Genomic DNA, 23439 nt, shown 5'->3' on the forward strand with positions numbered 1-23439 from the left:
CAACATGGCAAAACCCCATCTCTACCAAAAATACAAAACTTAGCCAGCCGTGGTGGTGCACACCTGTAGTCCCAACTGAGGCAGGAGAATTGCTTGAACCCGAGAGGCAGAGCAAAAGACAAAAAAAAGACAAAAATCAAACAAATCAGAGCACTTACATCTTTCCCATAAATAAAATAAACTAAAAATATTTTCTCTGGCTGGGCACGGTGGCTCATGCCTGTAATCCCAGCACTTTGGGAGGTCGAGGCAGGCAGATCACCTGAGGTCAGGAGTTCAAGACCAGCCTGACCAACATGGAGAAAGCTTGTCTGTACTAAAAATACAAAATTAGCCGGGTATGGTGGCACGTGCCTGTAATCCCAGCTACTTGGGAGGCTAAGGCAGGAGATTTGCTTGAACCCGGGAGGCGGAGGTTGTGGTGAGCCAAGATCGTGCCATTGCACTCCAGCCTAGGCAACAAGAGCAAAAGTCTGCCTCAACAGGAAAAAAAAAAAAAAAAAAGGCACAGAGACTAAGAACAAAATGATGTGTTGGGGAAACTAAGTTGGACCATGGACCAAAAAGTACATGTAGGGAGACTGGAAGGCGCAGGTTGTATATCATGCTAAGGAGTTGGGAAGTGATCAGGGTAGCAGAAAATAATTGTAAGGTTTTAAGTGAGACACGGACATCATTGGACTGTTTGCTGAAGTCAAAAATGTCAGTATGAAGGATGGGTTAACAGAGATGAGGTTGAAGGAAGCAAAACTAGTTGGAATGATGCCACAGGCTCCATAAGAAGAGAGATTGAAGACCTGGACCGAGGCACAAACAGTGGGAGGTGGGAAAGAAGGGCCTGTTAAGGTAGAAGGAGGTAGGCTTGGATAACTATTTTTTTGGGTGGTGGGGGCAGCAACAAGAGTGAACCACCAACTTAGGACAGGAAATACTAGAAGACAATATTTTCCAGGAAAGATAAGAAATTCAAGTTTGACATATGAATTTAAGGTTCTTGTATTACATCTAGGGAAACAAACCTGAAATTCTTTTTTTATCAAGTGGCTCCTAAATTTTTTCAGCCTTTTTTTCTCCTCTAAAAGAAGGAAAGAAATAAAGAAAAGCAACAGTTAATAAATAAAAAACAAACTTGAAAGTCACGTGTGGTGGTTGACGCCTATAATCCCATCTACTTGGGAGGCTGAAACAGGAGGATTACCTGAGTCTAGGAGTCCGAGACCAGCCTGGAGAAAACAGACAGACTCCATCTCAAAATATTATAATAAATTTTTTAAATTAAAAAAATAAAAAACAAAGTTGACACTTTGAAAAGTACTAATAGAAAAATTGCTAAAAGATCAAGAAAAAAGAGAAGGCACAAATACTACTGTATTATACACAAGAAGGAGGGGCATAACTACAAACATAACAGTTTAAAAAGAGAAAATTATGAAAAACTTCAAATCAAGCTTTGAACATTTAGGTAAAGTGAACAAATTCCTAAAAATTATAAATTATCAAAACTGACTCAAAAAGAAATAAAACATTTCTAATGGTTTTCTAATCATTAAAGAAATTGTATCAAAGGTTTAAAATCTTCCCACAAAGAATGTAATTTTACCTTTCCAGAAATAGACAATTCCAACCTTATACAATGTGTGCTGTGTACAACTGACATTAAACCAAACCAACACTATCTAGGAAAGAATAACTGTTCATGGACATAGATGAAAAAAAATCATAAGCAAAAGTAGCAAACTTGGCCGGGTGTGATGGCTCATGCCTACAATCCCACCACTTTAGGAGGCTGAGGCTTGAGCTCAAGAGTTTTGAGACCAGTCTGGGTAACAAGGCAAAAACCGATCACTACCCAAAATACAAAAATTAGCCAGGCATGGTAGCACACATCTGTGGTCCCAGTTACTGGGGAGGCTGAGGTGGGAGAATTGCTTCAGCCCAGGAGGTGGAGGTTGCAGTAAGCCAAGATCAACCACTGCACTCCAGCCTGGGTGACAGACTGAGACCTTACCTTAAAAAAAAAAAAATAAGGGTAGCAAACCAAATTTAGGAATGTTTAGAAAAGATACTACACCATGACCGACTTGGGCTTATTTCAGGAACTAAGACTGGTTCAACAAAAGTAAATCTTTTGTGATTCTCACATTAACAGATAAAAGGAGAAAAATGACAATAGATGCAGAAAAGGTAACAATTCATGGTTCCTAACAAATATACAAGCAAAAACTCAGGGCCTAGAAATAGAAGAACATTTCCTAAACTTGATAAAGGATATAAACAAAAAGTGTACAACAAAAATCATAATCAATAGTGCAATACTAAAAGAACTACCTTTAAAACCAGGGACAAGACAAGGATACCTACTATCACAATGTCTACTCAACATTGTCTGGAGGTCCTAGCCAATAAGATAAAAAGGATTGGAAAGGAAGGAATAAAACTGTTATTATTTGCAGGTAATATAATTATTCTAATTGAAAACCCAAAAGAATCTATAGAAAAATTACAAGAGTTAATAAGTGAGTTTAGTAAAATTGTTGAAATAATCTATAAAAGATAGTTGCACTCCTACATAAGCAACAAACAGAAAATATAATTTTTTAATGATAGTTGCAAAAATAAAGTAATAGAATAATTAGGAAAATAATCTTATAAAATGTGTATAAAACCTTTATGGGCTGGGCACAGTGACTCACGCCTGTAATCCCAGCACTTTGGGAGGCCAAGGCAGGTGGATCACTTGAGGTCAGGCGTTCGACACCAGGCTGACAAATATGGTAAAACCTTGTCTCTACTAAAAATACAAAAATTAACTGGGTGTGGTGGTGTGCATCTGTAATCTTAGCTACTTGGGAGGCTGAGGCTAAGAATTGCTTGATCCCAGGAGGCGGAGGCTGCAGTGAGCCGAGATCGTGCCAGAGTGAGACTCCTTCTCCAAAAAAAAAAAAAAGAAAGAAAATCCTTTATGAAGAAAAATTTTTAAACTTTAATGAATGACATTTAGAAGACCTTAAATAGTATTAAGGAAGTACCATAATATCTCAAGATGTCAATTGTCCTATACTCTAAACATTATAATTCCTATTAAAATTGAAACAATTTTCTGAAAAATTGAGATGCTGATCCTAAATTTAGAAGAGCCAAGAACAACTAAGGCACTCCTAAAGAAAAATCAGGCAAAAAACTATTTTTCCTGCCAGATAAAGACATGATTACGCTACAGTGATTAAGATACTAAGATATTAGTGCAGAAACAGAAAGACCACCGTAATGGAGAGCTTGTATACAGATCTTGTATGAAAATAATATAAAACAAGAGCCAGTAGTATAGATTCATGAGGAAAGGATGGATCATCCAATATATAGTGCTAGGACATTGGCAAATTATTCCCTATCACATACCATATATAAAAACCAACTGAAGATGGATCAAGTACATAACGGTGATAAGCAAAAGATTCAGAAACTTTTAGTAAAAGCATAGCAGGATATCTTTATAACCTGAGTTAGGAAAGAATTTATTTAGAAAGACACAAGAAGTATAAAATGAAGAAAAATTCTAATTCAATTTCATTAAGAACTACTGCTTAATCAACATATCACAAAAAGTGGAAAGATAAGTCACACACTGGGACACATATAACCTATAAAGGAAATATCCAGGATAAATAATAACAAAGTTTTAATAAAAACAAATCCTCAGTTTTCTAAAATGGGCAAAAGTCATGTACAGACATTTCATGGAAGGGGAAACACAACTGCCCCATAAATATTAGAAAGGTGCTCAGCCTCAATCTCAATCTCAATCTCAAGCCTCAGCCTTGTATTTATTTGTATTCAAGTAAATACAAATAAAAACCATAAGACATTATTTTACACCTACTATTTTGACAAAAATTCTAAAATCTAAGAATATCAAGTATTGGTAAAGACATAAAGAAATGTGAATTTTCACCCATTACTGGTGGGAATATAAAATAACAATTTGGATTAAAGTTTAACATTACTTAGTAAAGTCAAATACACACACACATTATGATCCAGCAATTCTACTTCTAAGTACATTATTGGAGGAGTCCCCAACACCTGGCTGCCAACCAATAAATCTCCTCAAACCCCATTAGGAACCAGGCCACAGAGCAGGTGAGCAGCCTACCGGGGAGCATTACCACCTGAGCTCTGTCTGTCAGATCAATAGGAGCATTAGATTCTCATTGTCATGGGACCGTGAACCCTACTGTGAACTGTGCATGTGAGGGATCTAGGTTGCACACCTTATGAGAATCTAATGCCTGGTGATCTGAGGTGAAAGAGTTTTATCCCCAAAACATTCCCCCACCATGGAAAAATTGTCTTCCACAAAACCAGTCCCTGGTGCCAAAAAGGTTGGGGACTGGCCGGGCGCGGTGATTCATGCCTGTAATCCCAGCACTTTGGGAGGCTAAGGCAGGCAGATCATGAGGTCAAGAGATCGAGATCATCCTGGCCAACATGGTGAAACCCTGTCTCCACTAAAAATACAAAAATTAGCCAGATGCGGTGGCATACGCCTGTAGTCCCAGCTACTTGGGAGGCTGAGGCAGGAGAATTGCTTGAACCTGGGAGGTGAAGGTTGCAGTGAGCCAAGATTGCGCCACTGCACTCCAGCCTGGGTGACAAGAGGGAGACTCTGTCTCCCAAAAAAAAAAAAAAAAAAAAAAAAAGTTGAGGACTGCTACATTATAGAACTCTTATATGTGCACAACAGATGAACAAGCACAAAAATGTTAACAATACATTGCAGTAGATTTAGAAAATGAATATTACTTACCAGCACAAATGAATGACCTAAAAGTTACACAATAACATAAATGAAATCTCCAAAACATAAAATGGGGCAAAAATATAAGTTACAGAACAATAGAAACAATACGATCCATTTATATCAAGTTCATAAAAAAGCAAAACCAAACTATGTTCATTGTTTATTAATTTATACTTAATGACAAAACTATAAAGTAATTTAAGTAGTTGATTAATCTAAAACTCAGCTATTACCTCCAGGGGAAGGGAAAGAAGATGTAATCAGTAAGGAAACCAAAGAAGCCTTTAAAAGTGTTCGAATTTTTTTTTTTTTTTTTTTTTTTTTGAGACGGAGTCTCGCTCTGTCGCCCAGGTTGGAGTGTAGTAGTGTGATCTCGGCTCACTGCAACCTCCACCTCCTGGGTTCAAGCAATTCTCCTGCCTCAGCCTCCTCAGTAGCTGGGATTACAGGCACGTGCCACCATGCCCGGCTAATTTTTGTATTTTTAGTAGAGACAGAGTTTCACCATGTTGGTCAGGCTGGTCTCAAACTCCTGACCTCGTGATCTGCCCACCTTGGCCTCCCAAAGTGCTGGGATTACAGGCATGAGCCACTGTGCCTGGCCAGAAATACTTCATTTTTTAACCTGTATGTTAGGTACATACATGTTCATTTCATTATTATTTAAACCAGCAGTCTCCAACCTTCTTGGCATGAGGGACTGGTTTTGTGGAAGACAATTTTTCCACAGACTAGGAGGAGGTGGGTGGGGAAGCATGCCTAAAGTCAGTGGTCCCCAACCTTTTTGGCACCAGGACCAGTTCTAGGCAAGACAACTTTTCCACAGACTCGGGTGGGGAGGATGGTTTCGGGATGATTCAAGTGCATTACATTTATTGTTTACTTTATTTCTATTATTACATTGTAATATATAATAAAATAATTATACAACTCACCATAATGTACAATCAATGGGAGCCCTGTGCTTGTTTTTCTGCAACTAGATGGTCCCATATGGGGGGGAATGGGAGACAGTGACAGATCATCAGGCATTAGATTCTCATAAGGAGTACGCAACCTAGATGCCTCACATGCACAGTTCACAACAGGCTCCTGAGAATCTGATGCCTCCACTGATCTGAAAAGAGGCGGAGTTTTGGCGGTAATGCGAATGATGGTGAGTGGCTGTAAATACAGATGAAGCTTTGCTCACTCACCCACTGCTCACCTCCTGCTGTGCGGCCTGGTTCCTAACAGGCCATGGACCAGTATCAGTCTGTAGCCTGGGGGTTGGGGACCCCTGATTTAAACTGAACATTTAAACTGAGGTTATATGTACTCTTTTCAATGTATATTTCAAAGCTTTAAGAAATTAAAATAATATTTTTCTAGTTTTGAAAGTCTTAAGTATTTTCTTCAATGAATGTTACAAAACATAAACAGTATATCACTTTTTAAAGTAAACAAAAATACTCCTATTTTTAATTTGGATGCTGAGTATTGAGAAAAACAAATAAATTGATACAACTATAAACGCGGTCCTGGTATTTAGGCATATGAGATTTTACAAGTTTTTAACTGCAATTTTTTTTTTTGCACTGATAGCCTAGCAATACCCAAATTAGAATTTGTTGGCTATCAATAAATAATATTTTATAAGCAACAGAAACCATTTAAAAACTTGGAAGAATTGTGATAGGCTAGCTAAAATACAACCTACAAAATAATTTTTGTAAGGCCAGGAACAGTGGCTCATGCCTATAATACCAGCACTTTGGAAGGCTGAGGCAGGTGTATTGCTTGAGCCTAGGAGTTCAAGACCTGCCTGGGCAACAAAGTGAGACCTTGTCTCTCCAAAAAAAAAATAATAAAAAAATTAGCTGGGTTTGGGTGGTCCCAGCTACTCAGGAAGCTGACCCCAGGAGTTCAAAGCTGCAGTGATCCATGATTTTGCCACTGCACTCCAGCCTGGAGTGGCTGGAGACCCTGTCTCAAAAACAAGAACAAAAAATAATTTTTGTAGCTGTAATGCAAGATAGTGTTTATTTATTAGTAAAGAATGTTCATAGTGGCTGGGTGTGGTGGTTCAGGCCTGTAATCCCAGCACTGTGAGAAGCGTGGGCTGGCGGATCACTGGAGGTCAGGAGTTCGAGACCAGCCTGGCCAACATGGTGAAACCCCGTCTCTAATAAAAATACAAAAATTAGCCGGCCATGGCAATGTGCAGCTGTAATGCCAGCTTCTGGGGAGGCTGAGGCAGGAGAATCACTTGAACCCTGGAGGCGGAGGTTGCAGTGAGCCGAGATCGCGCCACTGCATTCTACCTTGGGCAACAGAGTGAGACTGTCCTCGGTAAAAAAAAGATAAAGGAAATTTGCCAAGCACGGTAGCTTACGCCTGTAATCCCGGCACTTTGGGAGGCCAAGGCAGGCAGATTACCTAAGGTTAAGAGTTCGAGACCAGCCTGGCCAACATGGCGAAACGCCGTCTCTACTAAAAATACAAAAATTAGCCAGGCTTGGCGGCGGGCGCCTGTAATCCCAGCTACTTGGAAGGCTGAGGCAGGAGAATCACTTGAACCCAGGAGGCAGAGGTTGCAATTAGCATCAGTGCACTCCAGCCTGGCCAACAGAGCAAGACTCTGTCTCAAAAAAAAAAAGAATGTTCATAGTTATTAAATTAATAAATATTGGTAAATATTTTTATAAAAACTTGCTTATTCAACCTTTTTTGGTAAAACCAATTTTTAAAAAAAATTTTGTGGGTACATAGGTGCATATATTTATGGGGTACATAAGATACTTGATACAGATATGTAATGCATAATAGTTATGTCATGGTAAATGGGGTATCCATTCCCTCAAGCATTTACCCTTTGTGTTACAAACAATCCAATTATACTTTCAGTTATTTAAAAATGTACAATTAAATTATTACTGACTAGTCACCCTGTTGTGCTATCAAATACTAGGTCTTATTCATTCTAATTACTTTTTGTACCCAGTAGCCATCCCCACATCCCCGCTACAAAACTTGCCTGTTCAATCTTTAAGACTAATTGGAAATAGTAAATAGTTAATTATTAATATTTAATTCATAAGAGTTTTTTGGTGGATTTTGTTTTTAGATGGGTTCACATATGCTAAGCAGTATAGTAGGCATCTGGGAAAAGCAGAATAAGACAAAGTTCCAGTCCTCACAGAACTTACATCACTTGCTCTATTGTTAGCTTTGTGGTACTGCATCTTTTCCTTTTCCTCTACATTTCTGGCAAAAAAAACCAAAAAACTGGATCTATGTTAATGAAAGAATAAAGAGAAACAGAGAAAAACCCCAGAGGTATCTTACGGTAAATTTTACTTTAAATTTATTAGAGTACAGGTTGAAATCTAGCTAGGTCTGAGGCTCAAAAAAGAGCTTAGTGCTCGCTTTGGCAGCACGTATACTGAAAACGAAACGATACAGAGATGAGGATGGCTCCTGCGCAAGGATGACATGTATATTTGTGAAGCGTTCCATTACTTTTATTTTAATTTTTTTAAAAAAGAGAGCTTAAGGCCGAAAACATGGATCTGGAATTCAACCAATCACCTACAGGTGTCAAGGTCAAAATAAAAATGTAGATGCAAACCTCTAAATTTAACGTTTTATTTGGGAAGAAAGAATTGTACTTTGGGGCATACACGTAGACTGGGTGGTCTTCAGTATGTCCAAACAACAAAGATATGGTTGGGGGTTTTATAAAGAAGAGGAAATGTTATATGTGGTCTTGATAGAAAGTTTATCGGTATTAGTAAGGCTTTGGGGAGCTGGCAAACTCCAGTTGGTGAGCAAAATTAGTCCCAGAGTTGTAGCAAGTTATCTCAGCAGACGTAGATAAAATTGGTTTTTGTTTATATAAATAGGCAGTTCTAGCTGCTGGACTTGCAGAGAATTACATTTCTAGAGCAATGTTACAGACCCTGAATGCTTTTTCCCCTTGGCCCCTCTACTGATTTAGTTGGGTATGACAAAAATGACCCAATTCGGATGATTAACTTTCACACAGGTAATAGAAATAGTACAAGTAGATAAAAATCTCCCAGTCCAAGGTGGACAGGAGCAATTTAAAGCAGAATGGAATCTAGTGAAGCACCTACATCCAAGCAGCAAGCAGATGAAGATGAGGCAAAAGAATCAGGAAATGGTGGTTAGGGTATATTCTTAAGGAAGTCAGGAGAAGTAATATACAAAAACCAGTCTCCAGGAGCTTCAAATGTTGCAAAACGCAAACAGAATATTTTTAAAAGAACAATTAATGTAGCAATAGCACATAATTAGTGGCCTTTGGAGAAGAATATGAATAGAGTAGCTGGAGCAAAACCCAAATTATAAGCAGTTGAGGAGTAGATGGGAGGAGAAAGATGGGAAGAGGGATCCTCAATATAGACTGTTCTTGGAAAAAGTTATTCTCATACCTTACAAGTAGAAATGCTAACTGATAAGACTTTTTGAAAAGTAATCTGGCAACCACTATCAAAATTAAAATATATCCTTTGCCCAGAAAATCCACTTTTGGGAATTTATCCTGTAAAAATAAAAGGATATACATACAAAGATTTTATTGCATGGTGGCAAAAAACAAAAATAATGTAAATGACCACCAGTAAGGGAATGGTTGGATACACTGTGGAATATGATTGTTATGGGCTGAATAGTGTCCCTCCAAAATTCATATGAAGCCCTAAGCCCCAGCACCTCAGAATGTGAATGTATTTTGAGATAAAGTCTTTAAAGAGGTAATTAAGTTAAAATGAGGTCATTAGGGTAGGCCTGAATCCAATCCAAGACTGGTATCCTTAATAAGAGGAGAAAATTTGAACACAGAAGACAGACCACGTGAAGAAACAGGGAGAAGACAGCCATCTATAAGCCAAGGAGAGAGACCTCAGAAAAAAACAACCCACCAACATCTTCATCTTGGGCTTCTAGCCTCCAAAACTATGAGAAAACTAATTTCTGTTGTTTAAGCCACTTAGTCTGTGGTACTTATTATGGCACCCCTAGCAAACTAATACAACTATATATGTAGCCATTAAAAAGAACATATTAGAGCTATTAAGTGAGGTATTCTTAAGTGAAAAAAGAAGGTATTCTTAAGTGAGAAAACTCATTAAAAAATGTAAAATACATAGAATTCTCAAAAAAACCACATATACATATATACACGTGTATGTGTAATTATAAATTAAGTATATATTTATACACGAGCAGGACAGCATGGAGAAAAATATGGAAGAATATAACCTTTGTTGTCAACATGGGTTATAAATGGTCCTGGGCAAGGCAGGGATGTGAAGAGAAGAGAAGAAAAAGGGGGAAAGAATGAATCATTCCTCCCCCAAAGCTCTACTAAAAATTACTCATATTTGTGCACATTTATAACATTTATGTCTATGTGTATATAAAATAAAATATAAATTTAATTAAAAATTTTCATTGGTATGTGGTTTACGCCAGTGTATATATTAGCCATGGGAAAGACATATTTAAAGTCCTTTCCCACAGAAAATAACTATACACATCAAATTCCAAACATGTGTCAAGTGCTAAATTCATATCATTTTTCATGTGTTTTGCTTTAAAAACAGTATGACCTTCCTAAACAACTTTTTAAAAATATTACTATGTGATAACAGAGTTCCCACCAATAAAGCAAGGAACTGACTCAAGAAAAGAGTCTCTGATGATTTTTTAGTTCCTCTTCAACTATGCTCTTTATCTTCCAAAAGTGGCATGTATCCCTTTATCAATGATGTCCTGACACAGATGGGGCGCTTTATCAAATTCCCAGTGTTTTCTCTGCTAGTGTTCCCATCTATCCTATCCTATTTTTATTTGTATTTATTTATTTTTTTGAGACAGGGTCTTACTCTGTCATGAGGTTGGACTGCAGTGTCGTGTTCACAGCTCACTGCAGCCTTGACCTCCTGGGCCCAAGTGATTCTCCCACCTCAGCCTCCTGAGAAGCTGGGACTACAGGCATACACCACCATGCTCAGCTAATTTTTCTTTTTTTTTGTAGAAATGGGTGTCTCACTATGTTGCTGAGGATGGTCTCAAACTCCTGGGCTCAAGCGATCCTCCTGCCTTGGCCTCCCAAAGTATTGGTATTCCAGGCATGGGCCACCACATGCAGTTATCCTACCCTATTTTAAGTTTCAACCACATTTTAAGAGGTATTTTTAAGCTGGAATGGCAATTCACAATACATGTGATGTGTGTCTACTGTCTATCATTGGCAGTCTTCCTTAAAATGCCAACAGATAGCAACTGTGATCCAAGTGTCTTTCTACTATCTTCACCAATTAATTTGCCCATAACCTCTAAGCAGGAGATTCTAGTTTTTAGTAAACCAAAGCCATAACAAGCAAGGAAAAAAACTTTTCAAATTCAAACTTCTCCAAATGAATCACGTTCCTTGATATACAACCACTTCACAGTAAACTGATTTACTAGATGAACTAAACAGATTGCTTCACATTTATAGAAACCATCATTTGTAGACAATAAAACGGTCAATGTCATCTGTGAATTCCACCTACAAATTTTTATCAATTTTCAGACTTTCTGAGTAATGCAAAGGCTATATCCCAAATATGATATATGCACACATTCAACAGATAGTATAAGAGACACAGGCCCCACCCTCAAGGAGCTTAGAAGTACAATAGGGGAACTAGACATTAAACAAATAATTTATTTAAACATAATAATAAACAAAAGTATAACTATGTAAGAGGCAGAGTAGTAAAAAGGTTAAGTGTGGGCTACATTGCCTACATTAAAATCTTTGTTCTTTCAATTACCAGAGTGTAACCCTGCACGAATTACTTACTCCTTCTGGTAATATTACATACCAATATATTGCCAATCTTTAATAAACGTTACCTGTAGCCATTATTGATGTTCTTGTTAAAGTACAGGATACCAAGAGGCTACTAAATGGGTGCCTAAGTTAATCTAGTGGTTCGGAAAAGATTAAAGTTGAAAGCTGAAGGGTGAGCAGAATTTAGGTGAAAAGTATATTGGTGAAGTGAGAGGGATAACATTCTAGGCAAAGGAAGCAGACTATATACAAGTGAAGGGAAGAGTAAAGGAAATGAAATGGAGTTAGGTAGGGCCCAGATCACTGGCCAGATACAGGTGCATATACTAGGATAAGGAATACTGTAAGATGAGCAGATGTTTTCATAAGTGGGAGAGGGAACAAGAGATCAAGAGTTCTGGACTCCATTATGCTTGAGATCTTTCAGACATGCAATTAGCAAATAGGCAGTTTAACATATTAGATATTGGTAAGCAAGCCTGAATTACATTTTTAATGATTTTATCATATAATGCCCTATCCTATCAAAATAAGAAGTGGTTAGATATTAAATCACTATAAAATAAAAATGCCCTTCCCCGACAATTCCATGTTGGTAAACAGGAAGGCCAGAGGAAAATTAGTGTAAAACAGGAACACTAGAAACGGCTTTTCCCCACATCTTTCTACTTTACTAAAACATGGCTGGATGTTCTAGGAAAGGAAGGGAGTCTGCTGACTCCTGGGCTCAACTGTGGCAAATACATTCTTCAAAAGGGAAATAGTCACAGTTGCGTTGTTGTTCTTTTTTTTTTTGAGACGGAGTCTCATTCTGTCACCCAGGCTGGAGTGCAGTGGCATGATCTTGGCTCACTGCAACCTCTGCCTCCCCGGTTTAAGCAATTCTCCTGCCTCAGCCTCCCAAGTAGCTGGGATTACAGGCGCCCACCACCACATCTGGCTAATTTTTGTATTTTTAGTAGAGACGGGGTTTTGCCATTTTGGCCAGGCTGGTCTTGGAACTCCTAACCTCAGGTGATCCACCCACCTCAGCCTCCCAAAGTGCTGGGATTATAGGCATGATCCACTGCATCTGGTGACAGTTTTTGAAAATTATAGTATTATGCACAAATGGTTGGGTATAGAGGCCGCTTCAATGCAAGGGAAGAAAAACTGCCACAGAATCATAGATCTGCTTTAGATTTCCAGATAAATCATATTAATTAGTATTTATTAAGTATTAACATAGTAATACTTCATAAGAATACTTTCCTAGACAAAATAAAGTATCTTAGTTTCGTAAATATTAACCACTGCCAACATGGCAAGAACAGTGGAGCTGTCATATGATAACAGCCATGTTTACATAATAAAGTGGTCTTAAGTCTATGGTTCATGATTAACTTAGTAATTTTACATTTTTGTCACAAAACAATTAAACACAGAATATTTACAATGGCCTGAATAACACCTGCTCTTTTCTTGGAGACTGCTAAGAGGAGTTGTAATCAGATCTATCTTGGACATCTGACTTTATCTGTATGATCTTAGGCAACTCATTCAATCTCCAAAGTCTCAAGCGTCTCGCCTGAAAATGGCAATTATCACCACCAGAGGATAACATGATGATCAAATGAGATCACATATCAGAAAGTGCTTTATTTTATTTTATTTTTGAGACAGAGTCTCTGTAACCCAGGTTGGAGTGCAGTGGTGCAATCTTGGTTCACTGCAACCTTTGCCTCCCCTCTCCTCCCAGGATCAAGAGGTCCTCCCACCTCGGCCTCTAGCGTAACTGGGACTACAGGTGTGTGCCACCATGCCCAGCTAATTTTTAAAATTTTTTTAGAGATGGGGCTTAGCCACATTGCCCAGGCTGGTCTTGAACTCCTGGGCTCAAGTAATCCTCCTGCCTCGGCTTCCCAAAGTGCTGGGATCACAGGCCACTGCACCCAGCCGAAAGTGCTTTAAAATGTGGTAGAATGCTAAATAATTATTAGTAGTCATTATTCACATTACCACATGAAGTAATGTGTAAATATTAACAGCTGAATTAAACATAAAAATCTAGATGAAGATTATACTTTAATTCATCAATCGGATAAATTTCTCTTTAAAGATAATACCAACAAAATCCAGTTTACCCCACTTTCCATTAGATAATCCCACCTATCAGTGGTTCTTAAACCATGCATAACAATAAACTGAAAAGCTTTTTTCTTTTTTTTTAAATGCAGGATTCTGGGCCCGACCACTAGAAATTCTACTTTAGTATGCCTGAGATGGAGCGAAGGAAGTGACTTTTTTTTTCAACTGTGGTAAAATACACACAACACAAAATTTACCATTTAACCATTTCTACATGCATAATTCAGTGACATTGTTGTGCAACCATCACCATTATCCATCTCCAGAACTTTTTCATCATCTTGGCCTGGAACTCTGCACCTGTTAAACAATAACTCCCCAATTCCTCCTCCCTGCAGGCTCTGGAAACTACCATTCTACTTTCTGTCTCTATGAATTGAACTATTCTAGGTATCTCAGAAGTGAAATCATATAGTATTTGTCCTTTTATTTTTGGCTTCTTTCACTTAGTAAAATATTTTCAAGATTCGCCCATGCTGCAGCATCAGAATTCTATTCCTTTCTAGGGCTGAATAGTATTCTATTACATGCATGTATATACTACATTTATCTATTCATCTGGTAACTGACATGTGGTTAGTTTCTACCTTTTGGCTATTGTGAAAAGTGCTGCCTATAAACACTGGTGTACAAATATCTGTTCAAATCCCTGCTTTCAATAGCTAGAAGTGGAACTACTAGATCATATAGTAATTCTATATTTAGTTTTTTGATGAACTGCCATACTGTTTTTTACAGAAGCTATACCATTTTAGATTCCCACCAGCAATGCACAGTTTCCAATTTCTTTACATCCATATGGCTGTCCTTTGGTTTTCATTTTTGGTTTTTTATTTTAAATAATAGCCACCCTAATTGGTATGAAGTGGTATCTCACTGTGGTTTTCATTCCCATTTCGCTAATGATGAGTGTGCCTTTACAAAACAAAACAAAACACCTCTCGTGATACTGACAGAGTGGCCAGTTAAGAGATCATATTCTTCATAAAACACTGATTCAATATTAGGCAGCCCTCAAAATAGGGAAGAAACGAGCAAGAAAGTTGACTCATAAAGTAGTGTTCAAAAGTAGCCAACCTGGCCCGGCACAGTGGCCCATACCTGTAATCTCAGCACTTTGGCCATCCCTGGCCAACATGGGCAGATCACCTTGAGGTCAGGAGTTCAAGACTAGACTGGCCAACATGGTGAAATCCCATCTCTACTAAAAATACAAAAAATTAGCCAGGCATGGTGGCACACACCTGTAATCCCAGCTACTCGGGAGGCTGAAGCATGAGAATTGCTTGAGCCTGGGAGGTGGAGGTTGCAGTGAGCCATTGTGCCATGGCACTCCAGCCTAGGCAACAAGAACAAGACTCTGTCTCCAAAAAAAAAAAAAAAAAGAAAGAAAGAAAAGAAGCCAACCTAAAAAAGCTCCCAATGACCAACGCTGCAACAATTTACACAACAAAATAAGTAGCAATAGTATTGGATTATAACCCAAAAAGTAAAATAAATGTCCTTGAGTCTCCTACTAGAGGGCAGTGACTGTCTCACTTATCTTCATATCCTAACACTTCCCATGTTCATGGTACTAGTATAGTCAATCAACTGATGTAATCTTGGCTTTCATTTATCCTCTCTTTCTGAGATCTGAATCTCACTCTTTTTATTGAAATAATCTATTTACAAAAACTCTGGGCCAGGCACAGCGGCTCACACCTGTAATCCCAGTACTTTAGGAGGCAGAGGAAGGTGGATCATTTGAGGTTAGGAGTTCGAGACCAGCCTGGACAACATGGTGAAATCCCGTCTCTACTAAAAATACAAAAAAAAAAAAAAAAAATTAGCCAGGCATGGTGGCACACGCTTGTAATCCCAGCTACTTGGGAGGCTGAGGCCAGAGAATCACTTAAGCCTGGGAGGCAGAGGTTGTGGTAAGCTGAGATAACACCACTGCGCTCCAGTCTGGGCAACAGAGTGAGACCCTGTCTCAAAAAAAAAAAAAAAAAACACTCTGTGCATAAACACTAAATGCAGACTACTAAATAGCAAATAATTCATCTTCAAATGGTAGCGCCTAGGGCTAGTTTAGTTCAACAAACTCTTATCAAGCACCTTTTAATATGCCAATCCAGAGAAATGTCTGATCCAACTTTTTCCTCTATGATCATTTCTCTTCTTTGTGGGGGCTGGGGGCTGGTTGACATAGTAACATAGTAACTGAGCTCTTACATACAGTATTTTTTGTTTGTAAGAATCTTTAGCAGGCCTGGTGTGGTGGCTCATGCCTGTAATCCCAGCACTTTGTGAGGCCGAGGTGGGCGGATTACCTGAGGTCAGGAATTCGAGACTGGCCTGGCCAACATGGCAAAACCCCATCTCTATTAAAAATACAAAAATTAGCCAGGCATGGTGGCAGGCGCCTGTAATCCCAGCTACTAGACAGGCTGAGGCAGGAGAATTGCTTGAACCTGGGAGGTGGAGGTTGCATTGAGCCCAGATCGCGCCATTGCACTCCAGCCTGAGCGACAGAACGAGCCTCTATCTCAAAACAAACAAACAAACAAACAAACAAACAAAAACTTTAGTGCTTATCACATCTTTTTAATGTATAGTTTATGTATATCAGTGCTTTTCAAACTTAAATCACCTAGCAATTTTGTAAAAAATACAGCTTCCAATTCAGTAGTTCTTGGGTAGAACATTTTTTGTTGTTGTTGTTTTGTTTGTTTGTTTTTTGAAACAGAGTCTCATTCTGTCACCCAAGCTGGAGTGCAGTGTTGCGATTTTGGCTCACTGCAACCTCAACCTCCTGGGTTCAAGCGATTCTCCTGTTTCAGCCTCCCGAGTAAATGGGACTACCGGTGCACGCCACCACACCTGGCTAATTTTTGTATTTTTAGTAGAGACGGGGTTTCACCATATTGGTCAGGCTGGTCTCAAACCCCTGACTTCAGGTGATCCACCCGCCTTGGCCTGCCAAAGTGCTGGGATTACAGGTATGAGCCACTAGGCCTGGCCAAGCATTTGGTATTTTTATCAACCTCTCAGGTGGGACCAACACTGCTGGTCTGAGGAATGTCCTTTGTGCAGTGAGAGTGTACACATCTGTTTATTTGCTGGATTTTTACCTCCTTGAGGGTAGTGAGCATGTCTTACCTTTGTACCCTAGTTCCTGGTACTTAAGCAGCTCAAGTACTACACTATGAATAAGTGAATGAAATTACATAATGCAGCGTGTTCAACTTTTGATGTTTCACCTGTGAATCCAAATGAAAAATTCAACTTTCCCATAGGTATAAATAATCGTCTATAAGCCCCTTAACTCTTTTCCAACTCCTTTTTTCTACTGTTTTAGCTCAGGAAAGCCTCACCTCATTCATGAACAAAAAAATGAACTTAAACATAACGGGATCACTCCTATTGGCATATAAAAGAACTCGAAAAAAAAAAAAAAGTTTTCCTTGTCCTCACATCCCCCAGTGTTCACCACATTCTTTGCCTTTCAGAGGCAGATTCCTCAAAAGGATCTCCACAGTCACCTTTTCTATACCAGCCCCCCAGGCTTCTCCACCCAGGGCTGTCATGGTCACCAGGGGATGCCATTCTATAATACGGCCAGGACTAAATCCCTGCCCGCATCTCATCTGACCTCTTGGCAGTATGACAGTTGACCACTTCCACTTTCTTGCCACTCCTTCTTCATTTAACTTCCAAGTCACCATTCTCTCCTAATGGTTTACTCCAATGGACACAACATAGCCCAATTATGATCATTTCTCACCACCTACACTACTAGTTCATACTGCCATCACCTCTTTCTTCTAAAATAATCACTTTGCTTCATTATTACGCCCACAAAAGTCTGTTTTTCTTCACAAATTGACCATAAATTTTTAACTTAAGTTTATGTCACTCCTTCGCCTAAAATCCTTGAGTGTTCTACTATCACTAGTGCTAAAGCCCTACATGAAGTGGTCCCTGTCTCTGTCTCCAAACGTAATTTTTCTCACTCTTCTTCACATATGCTATACTCTAGTCATACTGGTTTTTTTTCTTTTTTCTTTTTGGAGACAGGGTCTCACTCTTTCACTCAGGCTGGAGTGTAGTGGGAGGATCATGGCTCACTGCACATACTGCTTGTCTTGATGTTTCTTGCGCACCCCAAGCTTGTCTTGCTTCAAGATCTTACACTAACTACCCTCTTCTAGGGTGCTCCTCCACCAGATTTTTTGCATTATTGGCTGCTTCTGAACATTCTGGTCTCTTCTCAAATGTCACCTCCTCAGAGAGGCTGTCCTCGACCATTATTTTTAAGAGTATCCCCTGCTCTCCTGCCTCTCAGACCCTACTTATCACAACCTCCTTTATTTTCTTTATTTTACTTACTGTTATCTAAAACTACAGTATTTCTTTGTCTGTTTATTTGTCTGCTTTCTCCTACCAGAATGTAAGAGACTTTGTCTCATCACCCGATTTCTCCTGGTATCTAGAACACTGCTTGGCATTTCTGTTGGTGGGTTGAATGAATAAATGAAATGATTAAAAACCAAAACACACTAAATAAATTTATAATTCAAGAAAAAGCAACTTGAAATTTTACAAAACTAAAAGAAATCTGAAAGCGTGATATGAAATAAAATATCTTCAAAGCAAGACAAATTTAAATCCACTTGAAAGCTCTAAATTAGTTGTAAAAATAGTCTCTCCAAACTAGGCATTTGAGAAAAACTTCATAATACTTAAATTCCCAAATTAAAAGTTTAAAATGAAAATGATAATTTACTTCTAAATATCAAAGTGCTACAATGTTAACTTCAGAAATTTAATGAGGCAATATTACTTCTTTGGTAAACTGTGACTCTTAAAAAGCCACGTTAAGCATATACAAAGATGTCAAAAAATCAGTTATTAATACTACAGAAATACTTTTTTAAATAAATGCATTTTTTAAACTAACATGATTTAACAAAAGGATCTCTAACCTTCCAATGATCTTGAAAGATAGGCACTATTTTCCCCTACACATATAATGAAGATATACAGGCCATTCTTCCGTATGTGAATAATTAAGACCTGGGTTAGAATCTTTCCTATTTCTATCATATTTTCCTGAAATGCATGATCATCTATGTGGTTAGTTCTTAGTAAACTACAGTAGTAAACAACTTCTAGTGTTATTGCAATGAGGCACATTTGTGTACTCTATAGCAAAGTACTGGCAATCCAAATGACTTGGTACCACTTACACTTTCACTTCCACCAAGACATAAGAGGGTCAGAGTCCGACATAAAGGTGTTGAGTCTTTCTGATTACAATGCCATTGCCAAGTATATAAGCAGTTCTGTTCAGAGATAATTTTCACACTCAACAAATATATTCTGGTAGGTCTTCACTAAATTAAGATTATTTAACACAATATCTAATCTATTTGTTAAGAAATGAGAGGGAATGACAAGCACAGAAGCCCAGAGACACGAGATTGTTTAGAGGAGCAAACAGCAAGGAGACCAGTGTGACTACAGCAGAGTCAGCAGAGCCAGCAGAGCTGGAGATGAGATCAGAGAGATAGTAGGAGGCCAGATCACTTAACGACTTTGACTTTTGAATGTGATGGAGTGGCAATCATGGAAAGCCAAATGGAAGGCCTTTCCAGTCTCTTTAAAAGGATACATTGCTACTTTTACTGGAAGGAACCAAAAGTTCATTGCTATAGTTTCAGATTCCATGTTGCAATTAACCTAAAAGAAACTACCACTTGTGGGGTTTGACATTAAAGAAAAATACAGTATTGATAATATCTGAAAAAGCTGTTACATACCTTAACTCTCTTCAAATATTGAATGTAGGAGGCTGAGTTTTTCTTCATATATTTCAACTAAAACAGCATATCACAAACCGGTTGAATGTAGAAACAGAAAATGAGAATCCAGATCGTACTATTAAGAGATTTGCAAAAAATACTAAACAATGCCACTCTCTGCTAATTTTTTTTTTGTTTGTTTTGGAAAACAGTTTTCTCTTTTTCTTTTTTCTTTCTTGGAAAACAGTTATCTTAATATTAAAAATGTTACTGTTGTTAAAATGTAATGGGTTCATTATTTTTAAATAAATCAGTAATTATTGAAATTTTTTCTTTTATTTAAAAATTGATGGGTATAATGCATACAAACAGTACTTTTGGGGAGCCTCGATAATTTTTTAAGAGTGTGAAGGGGGCCGGGTGCAGTAGCTCACGCCTGTAATCCCAGCTCTTTGGGAGGCCGAGGCAGGTGGATCACGAGGTCAGGAGTTCAAGACCAGCCTGACCAAGATGGTGAAACCCCGTCTCTACTAAATATACAAAAATTAGCCAGGTGTGGTGGCGAGAGCCTGTAATCCCAGCTACTCAGGAGGCTGAGGCAGAGAACTGCTTGAACCCGGGAGGCTGGGAGGCGCAGGCTGCAGTGAGCCGAGACTGTACCACTGCACTCCAGCCTGGACGACAGAGCAAGACTCGGTCTCAAATAAATAAATAAATAAATAAATAAATAAAGACTGTGAGGGGGTTCTGAGACCGAAAAACTTGAGAACTACTATCTACCAATCTAAGATAACCCTGGAATAACATTCCCAATTAGCAGTAAAAATTTCTAAGGACTCTTTGTTTGGTTAACTATGAAAAATCTATTTACAAATAACTTAGCCACATACAGCCTCTTTATAAGGATACATTGCTACTTTTCCCTATTCCCCTACCAAAACCACAAGCCATAAACCTGTTAGTCCAGTGGTTTTCAAAACTTTTAGATGGAGAGAAGCTCCCAAGAGAAATCTTCACTGAGCCACAATATATAATACAAATAAAAGTAGGGCCAACCAGGTTAAAATGGGGGTGGTGTCCTCAGTCTCCAGTTCATCCTTCCTCTCAGCTACCATAACAGCCACGTAAGGCACTTCATACAGTTAGACTGAATGAAGTTTAAAAACCTCAGTTACAAACCAGCTGTTCAAATTTGCTGCTTGCAAAAGTTTCAGAAAGATTCTGGCATTGTTTCACAATGATCATTTTCAACTCCACCCTCCAGTAGACACCAGATGTATGGTGTTTGCATCTACACAGAGAACCACAAAACTGTTTATATCTCAGAGAATTCTCAGACTCCTGAGAATATCTAGAGACTCCAGTTTGAGAAACTACTTGAGGACTGGTAGATGGGTACAGGTCAACCTGAAAAGGCTTCCTGTAGGAAGACACACTATGATTAAGCTAGGGGAAAAGTCTTAGTGCAGAGAAGAGAGATTCAGTTAGGAAAAGCTAAGGTAAGGCATATTTCCTAGGTTATCAAGAGAACTAACAGCCAGGCAAAATGTGGCTCATAAGTACCAGAGTTCTGCAGGCTACATTCGAAAGTTTGTGTTTGAGACACTGAAATAAGTCCTCATTCTCCTGAATCTGGGGCAGAAGTGCGTTTCCTACTCTAATGAGTTCTCTATTCTAGTCAAAATTAAAATGATGAAAACACACCAAGCCTTAATAGGAGTACTTGCTTCTGAGATAAAAATTATTTCAGTTCCACATATTCTGAAATTTATATAGGATAGAGCCATGTGCAAAGAGGACAGAGAGGAATCATTAGAGTTTTAACAATGAAGCAGGAAAATTATTTTAGCAACATTACAGAATGGTTGAGATAGACTGTTGGGTGTGTAGAAGTCTAGGTATGTGCTGACCAAAGGCAATTAGGAAATAATTTCACAAGTCAGTCAACGGTGCTTTCAATCTCTTTTTAGTGTTTAATAGCATTTTCTATGCATTTTACAGTTGATACCTGAGAAGCTAGATGTTTATGTGGAGCTATTTGGCTACCCAAATTCCTCCTATAAAAGAAACAACACAGATCATCTAATTTAGAAAAACAAACCTTGATTGACTACTAAGGTGAAGGGCTAAGGAAAAAAAGATTTTAATAATTCAGTAAGTATTAAAATGAACATCTACAAGCTATAACCTAGACAGGGGAAAGCAAGACTTTCTCCTTAAGCAGACTTGGCTAGAGATAAAGTTTTTAAAAGAAGGAAGAGGATAGCCTTATATTTTTACATTACATATCCCTTCCTCATCATTCCCTCTAAACTTTCTAATAGGTTTAAGACATCTCTAGGAAACAACCTGTTCATTCTACTCAATTTTACATAAGTTTATTGATGGAAATCTGTGCCCCATCTCACTAGCACATACTCTTCAACTATCTTCTTTCTCATATGTTTTAAGACCAGAATAAAAGAGATGCCTATGAGACATACTTTTTAAAAATTATTTATCAGGCTATATTCATGTATTACTTTGGTGTAAAATAATCAAATAGCATTTAGCACAGAATCAAGTCATTTCAAATATCTTAAGCTTATTTATTACCTAATAAAATGTTACCAAAGAGATCTGTATTTGAAAGTCACTAAAAATATCTTGGCTGGCCGGGCACGGTGGTCCACGCCTGTAATCCCAGCACTTTGGGAGGCCAAGGCAGGCGGATCACGAGGTCAGGAGATCGAGACCATCTTGGCTAACATGGTGAAACCCCGTCTCTACTAAAAATACAAAAAAATTAGCCGGATGTGGTGGCGGGCGCCTGTAGTCCCAGCTACTCGGGAGGCTGAGACAGGAGAATGGTGTAAACCCAGGAGGTGGAGCTTGCAGTGAGCCGAGATCGCGCCACTGCACTACAGCCTGGGCAACAGAGCGAGACTCCATCTCAAAAAAAAAAAAAATCTTGGCTGAAATACATATTTACTTTTCTTCAAGCAATATAAAGAATTGCCAGAAATAAAATCCCTAAGAGCTACCTATACCTACCAATAATTAGCTACACAATCTTGGATTAAGAGATTTAACCAATCTCTATGAGGGATGGGAAGAGTTGGATGATCTATAAAATCTCTTTAAGCTGTAACATTCTTTACTATTTTCTTAAACTCAAGGAAATTCATGAGGATCTGACAGGAGACAAGCCTACGGAAAAAAGTAGACTTTATGTATGGCAAGAGTTTTAAAAGAAATCCAACAATTTAGGCACCAACCATGACTATATAACACTTTATATATACAAATATATGCAAATTGAAGAGATGCAAATATGAGCTATAAATTAAAATTTTGTCATTTTTATCAGGTAGAATTTCCTACATATCAGCATATAGCTAATTCTTTATGACAGTTATAGGGACCATTAAGGAAGCGGTCCATGAACCAAAGCATCAACATGTTCTGTTAAAAATGTAAATTCCTGGATGCCCCACTCAAGACTTTCTGATTCAGAAACTCTGGGAATGCAGGCTAGCAAAGAATGTTTTAACAAGCTGTCCAAGTGATTCTGATGCTTGATAAAGTTTGGCAACCACTGATCTAAAGCACAAGACCTCTTTTTTTTCTTTTTTTTTTTTTATTGAGATGGGGTCTCGCTCTGTCACCCAGGCTGGAGTACAGCAGCGCCATCTCAGCTCATTGCAACCTCTGCCTCCCAGGCTTGGGCTCAAGTGATTCTCCCATCCCAGCCTCCCCAGTAGCTGGGATTACAGGCATGCACCATCATGCCCAGCTAATTTTTTGCATTTTTGGTAGGGATGGAGTTTCACCATGTTGCCCAGGCATGTCTTGAACTCCTGAGCTCAAGCAATCCACGTGCCTTGGCCTCCCAA

General features: G+C 38.5%; 1 protein-coding gene and 1 pseudogene across 8 annotated transcripts in view, besides 1 other annotated feature; one reads left to right on the forward strand and one right to left on the reverse strand.

Moving 5' to 3' along the window:
• Positions 1–23439, reverse strand: part of SOS1 (SOS Ras/Rac guanine nucleotide exchange factor 1) — a 143320-nt gene that overhangs the window by 92839 nt on the left and 27042 nt on the right. The window contains exon 1 of one of the 8 annotated variants that reach the window (XM_011533064.3): positions 1020–4695. The exons of the other annotated variants lie outside the window; for them this stretch is intronic. The gene's annotated coding sequence lies outside the window, so the exon portion shown is untranslated. Of the gene's footprint in view, positions 1–1019; positions 4696–23439 lie in introns of those variants that run through there. 8 annotated transcript variants of the gene reach the window in all.
• RNU6-198P (RNA, U6 small nuclear 198, pseudogene) lies at positions 8202–8305 on the forward strand (annotated as a pseudogene).
• Positions 18918–18967: a silencer, noted in NCBI's record as "silent region_11383". NCBI's record gives its function as "represses an Ori minimal core promoter by ATAC-STARR-seq in GM12878 lymphoblastoid cells {active_cell/tissue: GM12878}" and the evidence as "EXISTENCE:reporter gene assay evidence [ECO:0000049][PMID:35858748]".

This window comes from Homo sapiens, chromosome 2, assembly GCF_000001405.40.
Source record: "Homo sapiens chromosome 2, GRCh38.p14 Primary Assembly".
Classification (NCBI taxonomy): domain Eukaryota; kingdom Metazoa; phylum Chordata; class Mammalia; order Primates; family Hominidae; genus Homo; species Homo sapiens.